The sequence below is a fragment of the Homo sapiens genome, chromosome 10 (genome assembly GCF_000001405.40).
Source record: "Homo sapiens chromosome 10, GRCh38.p14 Primary Assembly".
Classification (NCBI taxonomy): Eukaryota; Metazoa; Chordata; class Mammalia; order Primates; family Hominidae; genus Homo; species Homo sapiens.
The window spans coordinates 11,714,810-11,739,342 of NC_000010.11; the positions used below are offsets into that span (position 1 = coordinate 11,714,810).

General features: G+C 46.6%; 2 annotated features.

Annotated features, from left to right (window-relative positions):
- Nucleotides 1-295: an enhancer, noted in NCBI's record as "tiled region #10517; K562 Activating non-DNase unmatched - State 7:EnhWF". NCBI's record gives its function as "activates a minimal TATA promoter and a strong SV40 promoter by Sharpr-MPRA in K562 cells {active_cell/tissue: K562}" and the evidence as "EXISTENCE:reporter gene assay evidence [ECO:0000049][PMID:27701403]".
- Nucleotides 8,022-8,163: a silencer, noted in NCBI's record as "fragment chr10:11764830-11764971 (GRCh37/hg19 assembly coordinates)". NCBI's record gives its function as "represses an EF-1alpha promoter that drives an FKBP-Casp9 reporter gene in an ReSE screen in K562 erythroleukemia cells {active_cell/tissue: K562}" and the evidence as "EXISTENCE:reporter gene assay evidence [ECO:0000049][PMID:32094911]".

Consider the following 24,533-nt stretch of genomic DNA (forward strand, 5'->3'; position numbering starts at 1 on the left):
CTGTTTAAAAAAAAAAAGCAGGGGACTATTGTTGACACCCATGCCCAGAAAGAACAGGCGGGATGCAAGAGGGGGTGTCAGGTGCAGAGGACGTGGAGGTCCCATCAGAATGGAGGGAAGGCAGGCAGTGGTTGGGGGGAAGCAGTGAGAAGGGCAGGAGAGGGGCAGGTCATAGCTAAGTCTGGACCCTGAGCTGAATTGATCCGGGGAACTGGAGTAGGAGGAGCCAGTCAAGATCAAAGACACAGTAGGGCCCACTTCACGGGACCAGACAGGGAGCTGCAGCTTCTCTGCAGTGTGCCTGCACCCCACCTCACAAAGACAGCAGGAAAATGCCCACAGGAGGGAAAGAGGGAGGAGGAAGGGCCCCACTGAGGACTAAACTGTCACTGAGCATCCTGGAGAGACACTGGAATCCTCCCTGCCAGGCAGAACTGCCCTCTGCTTAGGGAAAATCACCCTATGGTGTCAGGTGTGCAAAGTGGGAAGCTCAGTCAACACGGTGGCTCACGCCCGCAATCAGCACTTTGGGAGGTCGTGGCGGGAGGATCAGATCACTTGAGGTCAGGAGTTTGAGACCAGCCTGGGCAACAAGGCAAGACCCCACCCCCGCCCCCCACCCTGCCATCTCTGTAAAAAGGAAAACAGTGTAAAGCTAAAACGTGCGCCCTTGTTTGGGAGATGCTGTTCGCTGAGAAGCTGACTTTGGTGGTTTAAAACTTCAGAGGGTTCTCTAAGGTTCTGAGTCTTCAAGGGTGCCTCCTTTCTCTGCCTGGGTTTGGAGGGCACTTGGCAGGAACCGAAGCACAGTGTTTTGGTGATGAATGGGGGAGGAGGTCGTTCCTGTTTGTTGTTGTTGTTGTTGTTGTTGTTGAGTTTTGTTGTGTGAGTTGTTGATTCTCTCTGGGGGAAGGAGCCTCACCTCCTGCTACCCCGGAGGCTGTGGAAGCCCCTGGGCTGGCCGTGCCTGCCTGGCAGGTGCCACGGTGTGCGCACAATTGAATTACTTGGAATGGGCCAAGTTTGGGCCACAAAATCCTCTTACTGTCTACCTGGTAGGCCTCTGGGCATGAGTAAGGGGTGCCTTCCCCATCTATCATTCTAGAAGAGACCCATGCTGGGGTTAGGAAGCAAAGGCAGAGAGGGAGGTGGGAGAAAGAGAGAAACAGCAAAACGGCTTCCTTCCTCTGGTCCCTGCCAGGTGAGGAAGTGGAGCTGGACTGCAAGGTCAAAGTCAGGACGGTTCAAGGGTGAGTTTGTTCCTGCCTCACAGAACCCTGATAGACAAAGAGTCATTCACTCTAGGCCTGTGGGCTGACAGCGTAGTTCATTTATTCAGCAAATATTTACCCAGCACTGCTCCGGGCCACTCACTGTGCTGTCATTCTCTGTGGAACAGTCTCTTAAAAATGAAGTCTCACTGAAAGTTACCACTGACTTGAACCGTGCCCACACTTGGGCGAAAGCCCTGGAATTTCTTGTTCCAGAAACTGTGGGAGGCACTCCCGCGGGAAGGGGAGGGAGCCATGGCTGGCGGTGGCCAAGGCACACCTCAGAGTGCTGGAGCAAATAGCAGGGTGAGCAACAACCAGGATAGGGTGTGAGACACGCTGGCATCCTCGGATGGTCCCAGAAACGCTCAGGAGGTGACCCCGGGAAAGGGGCTTACTTACTTTTATAGTAAAGCAAGATAAAAACGTAGCCAGGCAGCAGTGTCAGTATGAACATACATGCGACCCCACTCAGTGATAAGTGGGATACAGCTGCAGTAACAAACGGGATAATTTGTTTCAGAAGGAATAGGAGAGGGGACGAGCAATACAGTCAAATACAGTATTGTTTTTTAGACCTACCTTCCGACCAAATTTCAAAAAATCTCAAACTTTATGTCAGGATCCATCACAGACAAATCTACAACACTTGAACCCTGTAAAATGGAGAAGGGTCTGTACTGGCAGGTGACTCAGAATGTTGTTTGCACTGAGCTCCTTTTTACCAGTTAGCTTTCCTGAGGAAGTCAGTCTGGCTGAGACCAGCTGAAGAAAGGAAGTGACTCTCAAAGTAGTGGCCAGATGGCTGAGCTGCCGCCATCTTGTGAGGAAGCCTGAGCGCTGGGTGCAAATCCAGCCATGGCTCTGTCTTCTTCTGGTGTGTGTTCTGTTTTCTCCTGAAGTGTGGGTTTTATGGTCATCCGTGGTGTAGCTCATGGCAGAATTTCCTTCTTTTTTAAGGTTGAATAATAGTCCACTGTATGGATAGACCACGTTTTGTTTATCCATTCATCTGTCAATGAACATTTGGGTTGCTTCTGCCTTTCGGCTATTGTGAATAATGCTGCTATGAACATCAGGGTACAAATATCTCCTTGACCCTCTAATTTCAATTCTTTCCAGTCTGTACCCAGAAGTGGAGTTGCTGGATCATATAGTAATTCTGTTTAATTGTTTGAGGAAAAGCCATATTGTTTCCAACGTTCTGTGTTCCTCTGCTTTCTCCTGGAGTGTGAGTTGTATGGTCACAAACCTCAAGCATGCAGATGTAGGCTTTCTGTATTTTTCTATGGTAATGTCATTTCTGTCTTGACAGCAGAAATAATCTTGTCACTTCCAGGAAAACCCAAGTCATATTACTGACTTCCCCAGTCATTTTGAATTAGTCGGATCAGGGTTTCCCTGTCGCCACTTCTCTCCCAGAAGGGCAAGCCATTGCTGCAGGGGTGGGGTGAGCAGGGGCCATCTTCTGTCCTCCAGGCATCTGCACAGATGCCACTGGCTCTGGCAGAGGTGACTTCTCCAAGACATGAGCTTTTCCCAGATCCTCCTAATCTATTTTGAACTTTTTTTAAATCATTTGTGTTGAATTGTTTTTAAATTGTGGTAAAGTGCACATAGTACATAAAATTTACCATCTCAGCCATTTTGAGGTCTACAGTTCAGTGGCACAAAGCACATTCACACTGTGGTGCCGCCTTCACCATCATCTATCTCCAGAAACTTTTCATCTTGCAAAACTGAAACTCTGTACCCATTAAACTACAACTCTCAGCCGGGCGCAGGGGCTCACGCCTGTAATCCCAGCACTTTGGGAGGACGAGGTGGGCGGATCACCTGAGGTCAGGAGTTTGAGACCAGCCTGGCCAGTATGGTGAAACCCCGTCTCTACTAAAAATACAAAAATTAGCCGGGCGTGGTGGCAGGCGCCTGTATTCCCAGCTACTTGGGAGGCTGAGGCAGGAGAATCGCTTGAACCTAGGAGGCGGCAGTTGCAGTGAGCCAAGGTTGCGCCATCGCACTCTGGCCTGGGCAACAAGAGCGAAACTCTGTCAAAAACAAATTACAACGCTCCATTTCCCCCTCCCACAGCCCCTGGCCACCACCATTCTACTTTCTGTTTCTATGAATTTGACCACTTTCAGTACAGCAACGAGAATGGGAACCAGTAAGGGGAATCGTATAGCATTTGTCTTTTTGTGTTGGCTTATTTCACTTAGCATAATGTCCTCAGTTCATCCATGTTGTAGCACATGGCAGAATTTCTTCCTCTTCTAAGGCTGTGTCATATTCCATTGTATGGCTAGACCACAGCTTGTTTATTCTTTCATCTGTCAATGAACATTTGGGTTGCTTCCACCTTTTGGCTATTGCAGATAGTGCTGCTATGAACATCAGGGCACAAATATCTCTTTGAGTCTCTGCTTTAAGTTCTTTTGGGACCATATCCAGAAGCGGAATTGCTGGATCATGTGGTAATTCCATGTGTAATTTTCTGAGGAAGAGCCATGCTGTTTTCCTCAGCGGCTGCACTATTTTTTTTTTTTTTTTTTTTTTTTTTTTTTTTTTTTTTTGAGACAGAGTCTGGCTCTTGTCGCCCAGGCTGTAGTGCAGTGGCGCGATCTCGGCTCACTGCAAGCTCCGCCTCCCGGGTTCACGCCATTCTCCTGCCTCAGCCTCCCGAGTAGCTGGGACTACAGGCGCCCACCACCACGCCTGGCTAATTTTTGTATTTTTAGTAGAGACAGGGTTTCACCATGTTAGCCAGGATGGTCTCGATCTCCTGACCTCGTGATCCGCCTGCCTCGGCCTCCCAAAGTGCTGGGATTACAGGCGTGAGCCACTGCGCCCAGCCGCGGCTGCACTATATTACCTTCTCAACCCCACTGCATGAGAGTTCCAGTTTCTCTGCTTCCTCACCAACACTTGTTATCTTCTGCCTTTTTGGTAGTAGCCATCCTCATGCATGTGCATGAGGCTTGCTCATCACGATTCTATCTTGAATTTTTAAAAAGTTTACTTCTAGTCCCTTCCAGGCTCTACCAGAGAAAAAGCCCTTTGTAGGGTATCTACATCACAGTCTCTCTCTGTTCTCTGCGGTCTAAAAGTTTTTTAATTTATTTTATTTTTTTTTTATTGTTTGAGACAGAGTCTTACTCTGTCACCCAGGCTTAAGTGCAGTGGCACAGTCTCGGCTCACTGAAACCTCCACCTTCCAGGCTCAAGCGATTCTTCTGCCTCAGCCTCCCAAGTAGCTGGGATTATAGGCATGCACCACCACACCTAGCTAATTTTTGTATTTTTAGTAGAGATGGGGTTTCACCATGTTGGCCAGGCTGGTCTCAAACTCCCGACCTCAAGCAATCTGCCCACCTCTGCCTCCCAAAGTGCTGGGATTATAAGCATGAGCCACCAGGCCCAGCCTAGATGTTATTTTTATCTCTTATTTATGGGAAACACAGGTCTCACATCATGGATTCTTTGCATTTTGTGGTTTACTTGGCAGAACCACACGATGTTGAGTAGCAACAAGGATGTTGACCCCTTCAGCCTCAGGTGGCCAGGTAGGGCACAGTGGACGCTCACCCTGGGCGGTGGCAGGGCGTGACTCAGTGTGCTTGACGAACATGGTGTTGTCATCGCCCCTTGGCTGGGAAGCTTGGCCTTATGGCATAAGCTTTGGGTGGTGAGTTCCTTGGCCTTTCCTTATTAGCATTCAGAGTTAAGACTCTGGAACTTGAAAATCCTTTTCCTTTCCAAAAATTTCAACTCTTGCAAAAGAAATAAACCTGGGCTATCACGTCATGAACTCTGCTATACGTTTAAATAGTATCTTGAAACTCAACTGCCTGCTCTGTTCTTCCTGGATTACTCTGTAACATTCTTTAAGCCGTTTGCTTCAACATGTGGATGCCCCAAGGCAATAAAGGACTTTAGGCTCGATGAGATGAGGTTCAGGCAACAAGCGTGAACCTTAACAACCACCTCCTCATTTTCCCCAGCCACACAGGACAGGTGTCCCCACCCTCTCACCTGCACTCAGAAGGTGGGCTTTGGACTCGGAGGCCCTGCCTTTCCCAGCCCATAGCCTGCCAAATGATAATGCACTGGTTTCCCAGAAAAAGAAAATAAAAAGAGAAAGAAGCAGTCTGGGGGCCACCGGGAGATCAGAAAAGAGAACTAAGTCTCTCTGTGGCAGGGCAGTGCTTAGCAGAAGGGAACTGTTTTTAGGAAGCTCAGATCCTGATGCACTGGCTCAGAGAGACAATGTGGGACATTTGAGGTCAGTGGCTCATCCTTTCTGCGCCCCAGTTTCCAATTCTGCGGAACAGGCACTAATCATACGACACCATGTGTCGTGGAAATGGATGAATAATCAGGGCCTCCCACAGAGGACGAATGCCCCAAAATGCAAAGTCAGGAGTGGCAGTGAATACTGATCACTGGGAAGTGGAGGAGATGCGTTCAGACACCAAGCTGCAACCTTGGCTGTGCACATGCGCTTAAAGCTCTCCTTGAAGGATGCATTTCTGACAAAAGAAAGAAGTGACTCAGCGTAGTAAGTTTCTGTCATTCATAAAATCTCTCCCTCCTCCTCATGCGAAGTTCCCTGGGAGAAAAATTAAGCTCTTCGCTTTCTTGAGGCTGACGCAAAATCTTAAAATGTTGTATCTAAAAGTCCCTCCTCCACCTCTGTCACATCTCTTGTTTAATGGCCTTCGAAACTGGTTTGTATTTGATCAGCAGAACTCAGGCTTCAAACACATTTTGGACAGTGTGGTGGTACGTGCCTGGGATTCCAGCTACTTGGGAGGCTGAGTCAGGAGGATTGCTTGAGGCCAGGAGTTTGAGACCAGCTTGAGCAACATAGTGAGACCCCCATCTCAAAAAAAAAAAATGGACAGAACCCAATATATCAAACAGGTAAGCGGGGGACTGTTGAGGCCAACTCTGAGGTTGGTACCTGTCCCCTCGGGCCTCTCAGCACCATCTTCTTGCAATTCACGGTCCTAAGCTTTCTCCTTAGAAGCCCGAGGGTTTCCCATCAAACTGTGTGAAAACATCTCAAGGAGCTTAATTCTCCCATTTGACAGGTGAGTAGACAAATCTAGAGACAATTCTAGACAAATCTAGACAGATCTAGATGTCTGGATTCCAGGCTCAGTTCATTTCCCCTTCCTCCATGCCAAGGATGGCAGGGTCATTGGTAGAGACAAGGTCTCACTATATGGTCCAGTGATGGTGGTGGTGATGAGGGAGTCAAGGTGGGCAGGCAGGAAGACAGACACAGTGCAAAAGAGGAATATGAGCAACACTTTTGAAAAAAAAAAAAAGGGCAGGTGTTTCTAACTGAAGGAGGTCAGAGGCAGTTTCCTCACAGACAAAGGATAGTGCAAACCAAAGCAAGGAGACCTCTTTCTTCTGACCTGGGAGATGGAAGATGACGCTATGTTCTGCTTTAGTCCCTTGGACAAGAGGAAGATATTTCTGTGTGTGTGTGTGTGTGTGTGTGTGTGTGTGTGTGTGTGTGAGAGAGAGAGAGAGAGAGTGAGAGAGACAGAGAGATAGGGTCTCACTCTGTCCCCCAGGCTGGAGTACAGTGGCATGATCATAGCTCACTGCAGCCTCTACCTCCTGGACTCAAGTGATCCTCCCACCTCAGACTCCCAAGTAGCTGGGTCACAGGTACGCACCACTACACCAGGCTTTTTTGTTTTTTGTAGAGATGAGGTCTCACTACATTGTCCAGATTGGTCTTGAACTCCTGGGCTCAAGGGATCCTCCCGCCTTGACTTCCCAAAATGCTGGGATTACAGACCACATTTCTTATGTTACAAAGGGACTTAAACAAACTGAGATTGGATAATACTCAAAGAGGCATTTTGTAAGGTGCTATTTCTCAAATCATTGGTGATCTAACCTTAGTGTTGCAATGCATGGGTCTTTCGCTGGAGTTTTTGCAAACCAATCTGTGGAATCCCTGGAAAGATTAACCAGCCCAGCAAAGCTGCAGTGATTTGGAGATTTCCCTGTTCTGTTCCCTCTGCCCATCCTTAGCTCTGCCACATGATGGATAATTTTACGTGTAAGTTTGACTGGGCCTGGGTGCCCAGATTTGACACTATTTCTGGGTGTGTCTGTGAGGATGTTTCTGGAAGAAACCAGCATTTGAGACAGTGGGCTCAGGAAACTAGATCAGTCTCCCCTACGTGGGCGGGCCTCATCCAATCTGTTGAGGACCTAAATAGAACAGAGGAAGAAAAAACACACCCCTTCTTTCCTGCCTCACTCCTTGAACTGGGCTGTCTTCTATCCTCTCCTCTTGCCCTCCGCCTGGGATCTCCCCCATTGGGACTTAGGCCACCGGCTCCCTCAGGCCTGCGGACCTGGGCTGAATGATGGCACCGGCTTGCCCGGGTCTCCAGCTCACAGATGGCCGGCCGTGGGATTTCTCAGCTTCCATAATCACATGAACACATTCCCCATAATAAATCTCCTTCTATATATTTGTAACATATTTTAATATTTTTATACAAACATTTCCTATTGGTTGTTTCTCTGAAGAACCCTGACTAATGCAGCCACATTTCCCTTAGTTATTATTGCAAATGCAGAGGAGGTCTTGAAATTGCCTGAAAAGCTGTTCATTCTAAAGGCTGTGTGTGCATGTAGAGTGTAAGGCATCCAGTGGGTACTGTCATCTTCATGGAGCAAATTCAACCACATCAATAGGTTACTTTATTTTATTTTTTGAGACAAGATCTCACTCTGTCACCCAGGCTGGAATGCAGTGGCATGATCACAGCTCACTGCAGCCTCGACCTCCCTGGTTTCAGGTGATTCTCCCACCTCAGCCTCCTGGGTAGCTGGGACCACAGGTGCATGTACCATACCAGGCTAATTTTTGTATTTTTTTATAGAGTCAGGGTTTCGCCATGTTGCCTAGGCTGGTCTCGAACTTCTGGGTTCAAGTGATCCTCCTACCTCAGCCTCCCAGAGTGCTGGGATTACAAGCGTAAGCCACCACACCCGGCCAATAGGTACTTTCTAAGCCAGTCACACCCTTTCTCTTAAAAACACCTAGAAGCTATCAACTGTGTTCCTATCCTTTTACCCAGCAACACCACTTCCAGGAATTCACCCAAGTGAAAGATCAGAGATGTGCAGAGCGATTTATGTAAAAGTTTGTCCACTGAGGTAGGAAATATTTTCCTGCAAATGACCTGAAAAGCATCACTCTATTTTATCATATAGTTTTATCATTTAGTGTCATGGAAGGATTAATAATGTACTGGGGGAAAAGCCGGTTACAAAGCACTACACTATCTTATTCCATGTTTATATTATATGTTATAAAATATATACATTTAAAAAATATGTGGAACTTAGATATAAACTAGGGCCTCTCTGTTTTTCAAATCTAGTTATACTTGGTTCCATCCCTCCTGACCAATTCCATGGATTGTGCAAGTTCAAAGACTTTCTGGGGATCCCCATGATTTGCACGTGTGGGAATTGGAGAGAAGGACATGTTAATATGGCTGTAGTATGTTGACCGAGACATAAAACTCAGCCCTGTCTTTAACTTATACAAATATACGATTATATACAGACACACACACACACACACACAAGCACGAAGCATCTGGGTGGGTGCACAGGTGGAGAAAAGAAAGGAGTTTATATTTCAGCTTTGTAAACCACTTGAAATTGCACCTTACACTTGTTCCCTACGTGCCTTTGAATTTTGCCAACTTCTTCGGTTTATTCAACATGAAGTTCAGTTTGTTCAAATAAATAGACATGGAAATTCTAAAATGTAAAGGTCTTACAGTAGCACAGGAAAGCAAATGGGTGTCAGGAAAGTCATGGCTTGACACGTGTAAATTCAGCCTGTCAAAGTGCCCCAGGTAGCAGCATATGTGGCTATTGTTGTACAGACAGCCTCGTATTAATTATATTTACTGCTTTGCACATTTAGACCAAGAATTTTTAAAACTCCATTTAGCCCAGCTGACGAAGCTGTCACAGCCCATTTCCCACATAATGTCCCATCATTACAAATAGAAAGATGGCCGGGTGTTGTAATCCCAGCACTTTGGGAGGCTGAGATGAGAGTATTGCTTAAGCCCAGAAGTTCAAGACTTGCCTGGGCAACACAGTGAGACCCTCCTCTCTGCAAAAATAATTTAAAAATTAACCAGGCATGGTGGTCAATGCCTATAGTCCCAGCTACTCGGGAGGCTGAGGTGGGAGGATCACCTGAGCCCAGGAGGTCGAGGCTGTAGTGAGCCATGATCATGCCATTGCACTCCAACTTGGGTGACAGAATGAGAACCTGTCCCCAAAAACAAACAAAGAATCAAAAAGAAAGAAAGATTACATTCAAAAATAGAAATAAAACTCTAATTCAAGCAAACTAATGAAGGAGATTTGCCACCAACACTTGCGATTGAAAGAGAATGGTAAGAGATTTGTTTTTTTTTTGTTTTTGGTTGTTTTTTTTTTTGAGACAGAGTCTCACTCTGCCGCCCAGGCTGGAGTGCTGCGGCACGATCTCAGCTCACTGCAAGCTCCGCCTCCTGGGTTCACGCCATTCTCCTGCCTCAGCCTCCCAAGTAGCTGGGACTACAGGCACCCGCCACCACACCTGGCTAATTTTTGTATTCTTAGCAGAGACAGGGTTTCACCCTGTTAGCCAGGATGGTCTCCATCTCCTGACCTCATGATCCACCCGCCTGGGCCTCCCAAAGTGCTGGGATTACGGGCGTGAGCCACCGCACCCGGCCGGTAGGAGTTTTTATTACACGTAAGACAGGTCTTCAAAATACCACATGTACTTTAAGAAAAAGAAAAATCAGAGGATCTGATGGGGGAATTGAAATCCTATTGCCTGTTCCCAACATACATTTCAGCATTTTCTCAACTAAATGGCAATTTCTCCGTGAACGGCGGGGCGGGGGGGCGGGGGCAGGGGGGAGCTGGAAAGGCGCCCCCTGCAACCCCCAGCCCTTCCTCCCTGGGAGGTCCAGGATTGCAGTATCACATTCACATCTGCGGTCGCAGGGCCCTCACTCAGAGAAAGCATGTGTTGCCTTTTCTCTCTGAACAGAGGCTGTCTCTGCATTTAATGTACTTACTCTCTTATGTGGCCCATTAAATCATCCTTTACATTTCTTTCCTGTGTCATCCACAGCTGGTCAATATGACCAGTGAAACAGAATTCAAAGACGCCCCATCATCTTCAAAACAGCTTAAACACGAATCCAAACGGATAGAGTCCAATACAGCTTTGCTTGTTTAGGTCACCCCCATGTGTCTCTAGAGGGAACTACTATTGCAGGTCTTTGAAACATCACCATCACTTTGAATCCACACTGCATAAGCGATTTTTGTCTACTTACAAAGAAAACCTGATGCATCTGAAGCGCCGCGGTGGCAGACACAAAAGTGACTGGGGCATCGATCCTGCCCTCAAGAAACTTGTGGTTTAACAGGGAAGAAGAGACGTGCAGAAAGAAACTTAAAGACGGCAGAAAGCAACAAATGCCCTTCCTTGCCACAGCGAACATGTTAGGAACGGGGGAAGAAGGCAGAATTAATTCCAGCAGTGAGAGCATCTAAAGAGGCTCCCTGGATGTGGCATTTGATGTGGGCTGAAGACTGGGCCTGATTTAGGGCCATTCATTCACTCATGAAATAGTTTAAGCAGCAGTAAAATCATGTCATCAAGGCAGAAAAGTGCAGGACCTACAGATAAAATATAAGGAGGTTTGTGTTTCTGAAGCATGGAATTGTGAAGGGTGATAATGTGAATTTGGATTTGAAAGAAAGGTTGGGGCCTTGTGTATCAAAGGAAACAAACTGTGCTTCTCCGGGTGACATAGCAGGAGCCAGAGAGGGTGTTTGAGCACAGAAGTGAGCTCACAGATTCTTTTATGTATTCAACAGTGTCATTCAACACATAGGAGTGTGGCTATCTGTGCCAGGTGCAAGGCATTGGGTACACAGTGGTGAGAAAAACACACACGGGTCCTGCTGCCACAGAACTTACAGCAGAGTCAGGAGAGAGATGATAAAGAAACATGCACACTTACAAAGCAATACCTGGCCGGGCGCGGTGGCTCACGCCTGTAATCTCAGCACTTTGGGAGGCCGAGATGGGTGGATCGCCTGAGGTCAGGAGTTCGAGACCAGCCTAGCCAACATGGTGAAACCCCGTCTCTACTAAAAATACAAAAAATTAGCCTGGCATGGTGGCGGGCGTCTGTAGTTCCAGCTACTCAGGAGGCTGAGGCAGCAGAATGGCTTGAACCCGGGAGGCGGAGGTTGCAGTGAGCCGAGACTGAGCCACTGCACTCCAGCCTGGGCAACAAGAGTGAAAATCCATCTCAAAAAAAAGATAATAATACCTGATTTAAAATGATAATTAGGCAGAGGAAGAAAAAAAAGCAGAATCCTGTTAGAGAATAATGAGGGGCTGGGAACTTAATTGAGATTGGGAGTTACAGAAGACCTCTCCAAGAAAATAACATTGGAACTGAGACCTGAAAGGTACATGAGTGATGTGGAGTAAAGTCTTGGGAGATGAACCTTCCATGCTTGTGTGAAGGCCCTGAAGAAGGAAGGAGTTTGCAGGGCTCAGGAGACTGGAAATTTTTGCCAGGAGCTAGGAACGAGGGGTTGGGAGACGTTGGTCAAAGGGTACAAAGTCCCAGTTATGCAGGATGAATAAGTTCTGAAGACCTAACATACAGCCCAGTGACCATAGTGAATAACACTGAATGAACAGTATACTCGAAATTTGCTAACAGAAGAGATCTTAAGTGTTCTCATAACACACAAAACATAGCAACTGTATGAGGTGATGGGTATATTAATTAGCCTGACTGTGGTTATACATTTATCAAAATGTCACACTGTGGCTGAGTGCAGAGGCTCATACCTATAATCCCAACATTTTGGGAAGCTGAAGCGGGTGGATTGCTTGAGGCCAGGAGTTTGAGACCAGCCTGGGCAACATAGCAAGACTGCATCTCTACAAAAAATACAAAAATTAGCTGGGTGTGGTGGCACATGCCTGTGGTCCCAGCTACTCTGGAGGCTGAGGTGGGAGGATTGTTTGAGCCCAGGAGGTAGAAGTTGCAGTGAGTTGAGATTGCAATCCCTGCACTCCAGCCTGGGTGACACAGTGAGACCCTGCCTAAAATAAAAAAAAAAAAAAAAAAACACTGTACTCCTTGAATCTGTGCCATTTTTGTTTGTCAATTATATCTCAATAAAGCCAAAAAAAAAAAAAGGGACTAGGAGAAGGCTGGTGTGAGGGGAGGGTAGGAGCAAGGAAGAGGGTGGCAGGGGATGCTCAGAGACAAATGGGCCCCTGTCACGGTGCATGGCAAGGAACCTGAGTGTTCAGTGTCATAGGGGGCTATGGAGCAACTTGATCCCATCTGCAATTTAGAAACAACACTCTGGGCACAGCATGGAGGATGCCCTGGAGGGGACATGGACAGCTCTGGGACATCCATTAGGAGGCTTCTGCAGCTGCCAGGTGGGACTGTGGTGGCTGCAGCAAGGCAGGCATCAATGGGGTGGAGAGAAATGCTCCCAGAAGGTGAATGTGGTCACGGCAGGGCTTAGAGGAGAGAGCCTGGAGGCAGAGAGGCCAAATTAGGAGGCCACGGCAGTTGTCTTAGTGGGATACAGGAGCGAGACACGAGAGGGAAGGAGGGCCAGCATGTTGTTTGGAAAACACCCCAGCCAACTCCTGTGGTGGTGAGGCCCCTGTTGAGGGGGAAGGCACAAGTCAGAAAGGCACTCAAGGGGTCACAAAAGCTTTGAGCCTGCATGGTTTTAGCTGGCCACAGGATCAAAGTGTGACCAGGTGAGGGCAGAGGGTGGGTTTGCACTGGGACCTCTCAACACTGGGGAGTAAAGACATGACTCAGATGGAGAGATCCAGGAGCAAGAACTCAGTCCAGACGCAGGAGTTCATTAGACTGCGATTCTCCAACTCCTGACCAAGCTGCATTTCACTTGGGGAATGGAAATGTCCTCTCGTGTCCCTGCTGGGGTGGGGCTGCAGAGGAAGGACCGAGGGTATCACTGGGGGTGGGGAGGAGATTGAGGAGGGGAAATGCAACATAAAGTCACCCAAAGCCCAAGGAAGCTCCAACTAAGACACACAGAAATGCAAATGGAGATTAACTTCCACCTATTTTGACATTGTATTAAATTATCTTATATAATCATCATAATAACAGCTAAACATTTGCTCAGTTTCTTCGATGTGCCAGCTCATATTATATATCCATGTATGTGCTAGGCTGTTCTTGCACTGCAATAAAGAAATACCCAAGGTAGGGTAATTTATAAAGAAAAGAGGTTTAATTGGCTCACAGTTCTGCAGGCTGTACAGGAAGCACAGTGCTGGCATCTGCTCAGCTTCTAGGGAGGCCTCAGGAAGCTTCCGGTCATGGCAGAAGCTAAAGGGAGAGTAGGCATGTCACCTTGTGAAGCAGAAGCAAGAGAGAGAGACTCGGGGAGGAGATGCCACACACTTTTAAACAACCCGATCTTGTGTGAACTCAGAGTGAGAGCTCACGCATCGCCAAGGGGATGGCCCAAGCCATTCATGAGGGACCCGCACCCATGGTCCCACCTCCCACATTGGGTATTACATTTCAACATGAGATTTGGGTGGGGACAAATATCCAAACTATATCAATGTACATGCATACATTATGTAACATTTAATATAACAATAGCATAACGGTGAAACAGCAAAAGAGCTAACATAACTAACTCCATTCGTTTAAGGGGACTTCACCCCTTCCTGCACATAGTCTAGGATGATTTTGAAGCATTGAGATAATACGTAAAAACAGCAATCGTGTTGTTTTCGAAACTGACTCTGAAATTAAAGGGAAAGGTTATAAACAACTAACTACGTTTTACTAAAAATTTATAGGAGTATTGTGACCTGACCAAGGACAAGGAAGTTCCCAACCTCCTGGGACCCTTGCTTGTACCCAGATGTCTGTGGTTGTCAGTCACACCTTGGTACCAACCCCTTGCTCTTCCCTCTGCCCTTAACATAAAAAAAAGCCTAAAATTTGTGCTGACTTAAGATGGTACTTTAGGATGCTAGTCCACTATCTTCTTGATTTTGCTGGCTCTCTGAATAAACCTGCCTTTCCCTCCACCAATCCTTGTCTCTCGAGTCTGGCTTTTGAGCAGTAAGCAGACCAACCTGGGTTAGGTTACAATAGCAAACATTTCTATCGAGCTCGCCCTGGCACAGTTCTAAGTTACTGATATTTATCAACGCACTCATGAGGTAGGTGGTGTTACTATCACCATCTTACAGGCAAAGGAACTGAGACAGAGAGGTTAGGTAAAATGCTCAAGGTCACACAGCAAGTAAGTGTTGAGGCCAGGATCTGAGCTTGGCTCATCAACACGATTCTACCTCACTTTACACATCATATAATAATCTTAACTCTTGGTGTAAAAATGATGGCAGCAGTGGCCCACCTGGAGCAGCTGCTGCTAAGATGCCAGCTACAGCAGGGGAGTTGCAGCTGGGGATGCATGCTCCACAGAGCCAGTGGGAGCTGGGAACAGGCAGGAGCCATGCCCCCTTCCAAGCTGCCTCCTGGGCACAGCTGCGTCTGCCCAGCCACAGCTGTGGACCCAGGCATCCCTGTGCTTTCAGGAGCCTGGGAAGCCCCCCTGCCCCCACAGGCTCAAAAGTGTCTGCTGCTGCCACCTGGCTTTTCCCTGCTCCTGGTGCCCACTTCAATTTTGGAGCAAAGTTGAGATCAAGCCCAGGCAGTGTCATGACCTGGCCGGGTGTGTGCATGCTCAGGGCAGTGCTGACATGCCAGCCTCCTGCCACCTCAGCCTCGTCCAGACTTTGAGCACTGACAGGGTATGGGAGGGAGGCTAAGGAGAGCTGAAGGCAGCTCAATGCGGGCTGGCAGGTGCCCCTTGGCACAAACAGTCTGGGTGCTGTGGATGCCATGGATGGCAGGTTGATGGCAGCAGGAGACAGGTAGGTTCCTAGGTGGAAAGGAGTGGGTCCCTGGTGAAACCCCACTTTCAAGCCAGGGACAGCCTGAAGCCTGGGGCCTAGGCTATCAATTCTGTGGATGGGAGCAAGAACTTATGGTGCTTTTCCTGGGCCCACCCATGGCTGCCCATGCACCATGGCTGTCATGCACTGAGTGTGTGCACTCAGCACACACTTCCTCCCCTCTGAAGTCCATAAAAACCCCAAATTCAGCCAGGCCCCAGCAGATGACAGGACAATCTGCCTGCAGATAGGAGCTACACACTCCAGGTCTCCTCTCTGCTGAGGGCTTCACAGCCAACGGGTCAACCTGTCTGTGGAAAGGACCTACCCACTTTGAGTCTCCTGAGAGCTATACTGACGCTCCATAAAGCACCTCTCTGCCTTGTTCACCCTCTAGTTGTCCATGTACCTCATTCTTCCTGGATGTGGGACAAGAACCCAGGACCCACCAAATGGTAGGACTGAAAGAGCTGTAACACAAACAAGGCTGAAACACACACCCCTGCTGCCTCCCTTACCCCATTCACCACATTGCAGGCAACAAGAAGGAGAGAAGAAAGAAGGAGAGACCATCTGCAGCCCTTCAGGGAGCTCAGACCTAGGAGATCCCCAGGCCAGGGCTGTGATATCCTCTTTGGGGCTCTGCAGTTCCTGGTATCTCCAAGCTTCCAGATGCCACCATGTTTCCTGGTGCTCACAGTGGAAGTGACCTGTGGTACGCCTGGTCCAGCCACAGCCTCACAGGGAGCTGGCACCTGTGCTGGTTCCTGGAGCTGCCCACCACACTGCAGTAGCCAGCGTGCTTGGCTGTGCACAATGGCCGGACCCTGTGCTTGCTCGTTCATGCACCCCTTGCTGCTTCACACCTGGATTGCCCTTGGCAGGTGCAGGATCCAGGCCAGTAGCATGAGCTGAGCGCAGCTTGCCAGGCTGAGTGGGCAGAAAGAGCCCAGCAGGCCTAAGAAAAATTCAGGCAAAGGTGCCACTGGCCACAGAGGTTTCTGGGTGGCAAAGCAACACCCCAAGGATCCTGTAGCAAAAATAAGTAGCTCAGGCCAAAATACTTAGAGTCCATCCTTGACTCCTCTCCTTCTACTCTAGACCCAATCCATCTACAAATCCTGTCCACTCCACCTTCAAAGTATATCTAGAATCAACTGCTCACGTGCACCCCACCAATGCCACTCTGTCCAAGACCATCCACTGTCATGTGGATGAGTGCCACTTCCGTGCAGCTAGTCTCTTGGTTTCAGCTCTTTGCCACCTACAGTTTATTTTATTATTTTTTTTTATTATACTTTAAGTTTTAGGGTACATGTGCACATTGTGCAGGTTAGTTACATATGTATACATGTGCCTTGCTGGTGCGCTGCACCCACTAACTCGTCATCTAGCATTAGGTATATCTCCCAATGCTATCCCTCCCCCCTCCCCCAACCCCACCACAGTCCCCAGAGTGTGATATTCCCCTTCCTGTGTCCATGTGATCTCATTGTTCAATTCCCACCTATGAGTGAGAATATGCGGTGTTTGGTTTTTTGTTCTTGCGATAGTTTACTGAGAATGATGATTTCCAATTTCATCCATGTCCCTACAAAGGACATGAACTCATCATTTTTTATGGCTGCATAGTATTCCATGGTGTATATGTGCCACATTTTCTTAATCCAGTCTATCATTGTTGGACATTTGGGTTGGTTCCAAGTCTTTGCTATTGTGAATAGTGCCGCAATAAACATACATGTGCATGTGTCTTTATAGCAGCATGATTTATAGTCCTTTGGGTATATACCCAGTAATGGGATGGCTGGGTCAAATGGTATTTCTAGTTCTAGATCCCTGAGGAATCGCCACACTGACTTCCACAATGGATGAACTAGTTTACAGTCCCACCAACAGTGTAAAAGTGTTCCTATTTCTCCACATCCTCTCCAGCACCTGTTGTTTCCTGACTTTTTAATGATTGCCATTCTAACTGGTGTGAGATGGTATCTCATTGTGGTTTTGATTTGCATTTCTCTGATGGCTAGTGATGATGAGCATTTTCTCATGTGTTTTTTGGCTGCATAAATGTCTTCTTTTGAGAAGTGTCTGTTCATGTCCTTCGCCCACTTTTTGATGGGGTTGTTTGCTTTTTTCTTGTAAATTTGTTTGAGTTCATTGTAGATTCTGGATATTAGCCCTTTGTAAGATGAGTAGGTTGTGAAAATTTTCTCCCATTTTGTAGGTTGCCTGTTCACTCTGATGGTAATTTCTTTTGCTGTGCAGAAGCTCTTTAGTTTAATTAGATCCCATTTGTCAATTTTGTCTTTTGTTGCCATTGCTTTTGGTGTTTTGGACATGAAGTCCTTGCCCATGCCTATGTCCTGAATGGTAATGCCTAGGTTTTCTTCTAGGGTTTTTATGGTTTTAGGTCTAACATTTAAGTCTTTAATCCATCTTGAATTGATTTTTGTATAAGGTGTAAGGAAGGGATCCAGTTTCAGCTTTCTACATATGGCTAGCCTGTTTTCCCAGCACCATTTATTAAATAGGGAATCCTTTCCCCATTGCTTGTTTTTCTCAGGTTTGTCAAAGATCAGATAGTTGTAGGTATGCGGCATTATTTCTGAGGGCTCTGTTCTGTTCCATTGATCTATATCTCTGTTTTGGTACCAGTACCATGCTGTTTTGGTTACTGTAGCCTTGTAGTATAGTTTGAAGTCAGGTAGTGTGATGCCTCCAGCTTTGTTCTTTTGGCTTAGGATTGACTTGGCGATGCGGGCTCTTTTTTGGTTCCATATGAACTTTAAAGTAGTTTTTTCCAATTCTGTGAAGAAAGTCATTGGTAGCTTGATGGGGATGGCATTGAATCTGTAAATTACCTTGGGCAGTATGGCCATTTTCACGATATTGATTCTTCCTAGCCATGAGCATGGAATGTTCTTCCATTTGTTTGTATCCTCTTTTATTTCATTGAGCAGTGGTTTGTAGTTCTCCTTGAAGAGGTCCTTCACATCCCTTGTAAGTTGGATTCCTAGGTATTTTATTCTCTTTGAAGCAATTGTGAATGGGAGTTCACTCATGATTTGGCTCTCTGTTTGTCTGTTGTTGGTGTATAAGAATGCTTGTGATTTTTGTACATTGATTTTGTATCCTGAGACTTTGCTGAAGTTGCTTATCAGCTTAAGGAGACTTTGGGCTGAGACAATGGGGTTTTCTAGATATACAATCATGTCGTCTGCAAACAGGGACAATTTGACTTCCTCTTTTCCTAATTGGATACCCTTTATTTCCTTCTCCTGCCTAATTGCCCTGGCCAGAACTTCCAACACTATGTTGAATAGGAGCGGTGAGAGAGGGCATCCCTGTCTTGTGCCAGTTTTCAAAGGGAATGCTTCCAGTTTTTGCCCATTCAGTATGATATTGGCTGTGGGTTTGTCATAGATAGCTCTTATTATTTTGAAATACGTCCCATCAATACCTAATTTATTGAGAGTTTTTAGCATGAAGGGTTGTTGAATTTTGTCAAAGGCTTTTTCTGCATCTATTGAGATAATCATGTGGTTTTTGTCTTTGGCTCTGTTTATATGCTGGACTACATTTATTGATTTGCGAATATTGAACCAGCCTTGCATCCCAGGGATGAAGCCCACTTGATCATGGTGGATAAGCTTTTTGATGTGCTGCTGGATTCGTTTTGCCAGCATTTTATTGAGGATTTTTGCATCAATGTTCATCAAGGATATTGGTCTAAAATTCTCTTTTTTGGTTGTGTCTCTGCCTGGCTTTGGTATTAGAATGATGCTGGCCTCATAAAATGAGTTAGGGAGGATTCCCTCTTTTTCTATTGATTGGAATAGTTTCAGAAGGAATGGTACCAGTTCCTCCTTGTACCTCTGGTAGAATTCGGCTGTGAATCCATCTGGTCCCGGACTCTTTTTGGTTGGTAAACTATTGATTATTGCCACAATTTCAGCTCCTGTTATTGGTCTATTCAGAGATTCAACTTCTTCCTGGTTTAGTCTTGGGAGAGTGTATGTGTCGAGGAATGTATCCATTTCTTCTAGATTTTCTAGTTTATTTGCGTAGAGGTGTTTGTAGTATTCTCTGATGGTAGTTTGTATTTCTGTGGGATCGGTGGTGATATCCCCTTTATCATTTTTTATTGTATCTATTTGATTCTTCTCTCTTTTTTTCTTTATTAGTCTTGCTAGCGGTCTATCAATTTTGTTGATCCTTTCAAAAAACCAGCTCCTGGATTCATTGATTTTTTGAAGGGTTTTTTGTGTCTCTATTTCCTTCAGTTCTGCTCTGATTTTAGTTATTTCTTGCCTTCTGCTAGCTTTTGAATGTGTTTGCTCTTGCTTTTCTAGTTCTTTTACTTGTGATGTTAGGGTGTCAATTTTGGATCTTTCCTGCTTTCTCTTGTGGGCATTTAGTGCTATAAATTTCCCTCTACACACTGCTTTGAATGCATCCCAGAGATTCTGGTATGTTGTGTCTTTGTTCTCGTTGGTTTCAAAGAACATCTTTATTTCTGCCTTCATTTCATTATGTACCCAGTAGTCATTCAGGAGCAGGTTGTTCAGTTTCCATGTAGTTGAGCGGCTTTGAGTGAGATTCTTAATCCTGAGTTCTAGTTTGATTGCACTGTGGTCTGAGAGATAGTTTGTTATAATTTCTGTTCTTTTACATTTGCTGAGGAGAGCTTTACTTCCAACTATGTGGTCAATTTTGGAATAGGTGTGGTGTGGTGCTGAAAAAAATGTATATTCTGTTGATTTGGGGTGGAGAGTTCTGTAGATGTCTATTAGGTCTGCTTGGTGCAGAGCTGAGTTCAATTCCTGGGTATCCTTGCTGACTTTCTGTCTCGTTGATCTGTCTAATGTTGACAGTGGGGTGTTAAAGTCTCCCATTATTAATGTGTGGGAGTCTAAGTCTCTTTGTAGGTCACTCAGGACTTGCTTTATGAATCTGGGTGCTCCTGTATTGGGTGCATATATATTTAGGATAGTTAGCTCTTCTTGTTGAATTGATCCCTTTACCATTATGTAATGGCCTTCTTTGTGTCTTTTGATCTTTGTTGGTTTAAAGTCTGTTTTATCAGAGACTAGGATTGCAGCCCCTGCCTTTTTTTGTTTTCCATTTGCTTGGTAGATCTTCCTCCATCCTTTTATTTTGAGCCTATGTGTGTCTCTGCACGTGAGATGGGTTTCCTGAATACAGCACACTGATGGGTCTTGACTCTTTATCCAATTTGCCAGTCTGTGTCTTTTAATTGGAGAATTTAGTCCATTTACATTTAAAGTTAATATTGTTATGTGTGAATTTGATCCTGTCATTATGATGTTAGCTGGTGATTTTGCTCGTTAGTTGATGCAGTTTCTTCCTAGTCTCGATGGTCTTTACATTTTGGCATGATTTTGCAGCGGCTGGTACCGGTTGTTCCTTTCCATGTTTAGCGCTTCCTTCAGGAGCTCTTTTAGGGCAGGCCTGCTGGTGACAAAATCTCTCAGCATTTGCTTGTCTGTAAAGTCTTTTATTTCTCCTTCACTTATGAAGCTTAGTTTGGCTGGATATGAAATTCTGGGTTGAAAATTCTTTTCTTTAAGAATGTTGAATATTGGCCCCCACTCTCTTCTGGCTTGTAGGGTTTCTGCCGAGAGATCCGCTGTTAGTCTGATGGGCTTCCCTTTGAGGGTAACCTAACCTTTCTCTCTGGCTGCCCTTAACATTTTTTCCTTCATTTCAACTTTGGTGAATCTGACAATTATGTGTCTTGGAGTTGCTCTTCTTGAGGAGTATCTTTGTGGCATTCTCTGTATTTCCTGAATCTGAACGTTGGCCTGCCTTGCTAGATTGGGGAAGTTCTCCTGGATAATATCCTGCAGAGTGTTTTCCAACTTGGTTCCATTCTCCGCATCACTTTCAGGTACACCAATCAGACGTAGATTTGGTCTTTTCACATAGTCCCATATTTCTTGGAGGCTTTGCTCATTTCTTTTTATTCTTTTTTCTCTAAACTTCCCTTCTTGCTTCATTTCATTCATTTCATCTTCCATTGCTGATACCCTTTCTTCCAGTTGATCGCATTGGCTCCTGAGGCTTCTGCATTCTTCACGTAGTTCTCGAGCCTTGGTTTTCAGCTCCATCAGCTCCTTTAAGCACTTCTCTGTATTGGTTATTCTAGTTATACATTCTTCTAAATTTTTTTCAAAGTTTTCAACTTCTTTGCCTTTGGTTTGAATGTCCTCCCATACCTCAGAGTAATTTGATCATCTGAAGCCTTCTTCTCTCAGCTCGTCAAAGTCATTCTCCATCCAGCTTTGTTCCGTTGCTGGTGAGGAACTGCGTTCCTTTGGAGGAGGAGAGGCGCTCTGCGTTTTAGAGTTTCCAGTTTTTCTGTGCTTTTTTTTTCCCCATCTTTGTGGTTTTATCTACTTTTGGTCTTTGATGATGGTGATGTACAGATGGGTTTTCGGTGTGGATGTCCTTTCTGTTTGTTAGTTTTCCTTCTAACAGACAGGACCCTCAGCTGCAGGTCTGTTGGAATACCCTGCCGTGTGAGGTGTCAGTGTGCCCCTGCTGGGGGGTGCCTCCCAGTTAGGCTGCTCGGGGGTCAGGGGTCAGGGACCCACTTGAGGAGGCAGTCTGCCGGTTCTCAGATCTCCAGCTGCGTGCTGGGAGAACCACTGCTCTCTTCAAAGCTGTCAGACAGGGACATTTAAGTCTGCAGAGGTTACTGCTGTCTTTTTGTTTGTCTGTGCCCTGCCCCCAGAGGTGGAGCCTACAGAGGCAGGCAGGCCTCCGTGAGCTGTGGTGGGTTCCACCCAGTTCGAGCTTCCCGGCTGCTTTGTTTACCTAAGCAAGCCTGGGCAATGGCGGGCACCCCTCCCCCAGCCTCGCTGCCGTCTTGCAGTTTGATCTCAGACTGCTGTGCTAGCAACCAGCGAGACTCCGTGGGCGTAGGACCCTCCGAGCCAGGTGTGGGATATAGTCTCATGGTGCGCCGTTTATTAGGCCGGTCTGAAAAGCGCAATATTCGGGTGGGAGTGACCCGATTTTCCAGGTGCGTCCGTCACCCCTTTCTTTGACTCGGAAAGGGAACTCCCTGACCCCTTGCGCTTCCCGAGTGAGGCAATGCCTCGCCCTGCTTCGGCTCGCGCACGGTGCGCGCACCCTCTGACCTGCGCCCACTGTCTGGCACTCCCTAGTGAGATGAACCCGGTACCTCAGATGGAAATGCAGAAATCACCCGTCTTCTGCGTCGCTCACGCTGGGAGCTGTAGACCGGAGCTGTTCCTATTCGGCCATCTTGGCTCCTCCTGAACTTTTATGCTCTGCTTCTTCTCGAATGCTTTGCTGCTTAGAAATTTCTTCTGGCAGATACCTTAAATCATCTCTGTCAAGTTCAAAGTTCCACAGATCTCTAGGGAACTAGTTCTGCATGGCTGGGGAGGCCTCACAATCATGGTGGAAGGCAAGGAGATGCAAAAGCATGTCTCACATAGCAGCAGGCAGCTACAGTTTATTTTTAACATGGCATTCAGGAGAATAATTTGAACACGTAAGTTGGGTCATGTCCCAACCGTGCTAAAACTTCCTGTGGTTCTCTCTCTCTCTCAGAGTGAACAGGCCAAGCACCCATCCTCCCTCCCTCTGCTCACCCACCCTGACCTCTCGCTGTTCCCTGACCTCACTGGGTCCTCCTGCTTCTCAGCATCTGTGCTCGTTCCCGCTGCTTGGGCAGCTGTGGCCCTAGATACTTGCGTGACTCACTCCCTCGCTTCCTCTGGTCTCTGCTCAGACATCAATTTATCAATATTTCCCCAACTCCCCCACCTTGCAATAGGGTCGCATCCCTCTCCCTCTGCCCCGACCTCCTCCAAGGTTCTTCAGAGCATCCCTCACCATCTGACACATCATCTACTCTGTTTATTTTCTGCTTCCCTGCACTAGAACTCAAGCCTTCTGAGAGCAAGGACTTGCTTTTGTTCCCTGCGATAACCCCAGTGCCTAGATCTGTACCTGGCACATAATGGGCTCAACAAATATTCTTTGAAATGAATGATAGTATTATTCTTCTCGTTTGACAGACAAGGAAACAGGCTCAGAAGTAACATGCTAAGGTCATCAACCTAGTAATATAGCAATTACCAGGAGCTGAGCCTGTCCCATCCCCTTCGCTCACTGACCTAAGTGTGAAGTCATTCCCCTCCTTCCAGTCAGGAAAAATGCCCTCCCATCTCCCACCCCACCACCACTACAGGAACTCTTCTGCAGAGGCTGTCCGGAATGTTCAAGCAAGTATCACTCTTTATGGTAGAATGTTTCATTTGACTGAAGGTTAACCTGATCAATGTCAGAATGGCAACTACTTTTCCTTTCTCCTTGAATTATTACTTTTTTTTAGAGACAGGGTCTTGCTCTGTCACCCAGGCTGGAGTGCAGTGGCACAATCATAGCTCACTATAACCTCAAACTCCCGGGCTCAAGCAATCCTCCTCACACAGCCTCCCAAGTAGCTGGTATTATAGGCACAGGCCACCATGCCCAGCTCATTTTTTTTTTTTTGTATTTTGTAGAGTTGGGGGCTTTCTGTGTTGCCCAGGCTGGTCTCAAACTCCTGGCCTCAAGTGAGCCTCCCGCCTGACACTCCTGAAGCACTGGGATTACAGGTGTGAGCCATCATGCGTGTTCTCTTCTTGAATTATCGAAATGTAACTGAACCTTCTCTTTGTGTTGCAGGATTAAAATTATTGTGAGATGCAGGTCATGTAGCTAAGATGCTGTATTAGTCCATTTTCATGCTGCTAATGAAGACACACCCAAGAATGGGTAATTTATAAATAAAAAGAGGTTTAATGAACTCACAGTTCCACGTGGCTGGGGAGGCCTTGCAATCATGGCAGAAGGCGAAAGGCACATCTTACATGGTGGCAGACAAGACAGAATGAGAACGAAGCAAAAGGGGTTTCCCCTCATAAAACCATCAGATCTTGTAAGACTTATTCATTACCATGAGAACAGTATGAGGGAACCACCCCCATGATTCAATTGTCTCCCACCAGAGCCCTCCCACAACACATGGGAATTATGGGAGCTACAATTCAAGATGAGATTTGAATGGAGACATAGAGCCGAACCATATCAGATGCAGATGCAGGAGGTGTAGAAGATAGGGGTGAGTGGGTACCAGCCCC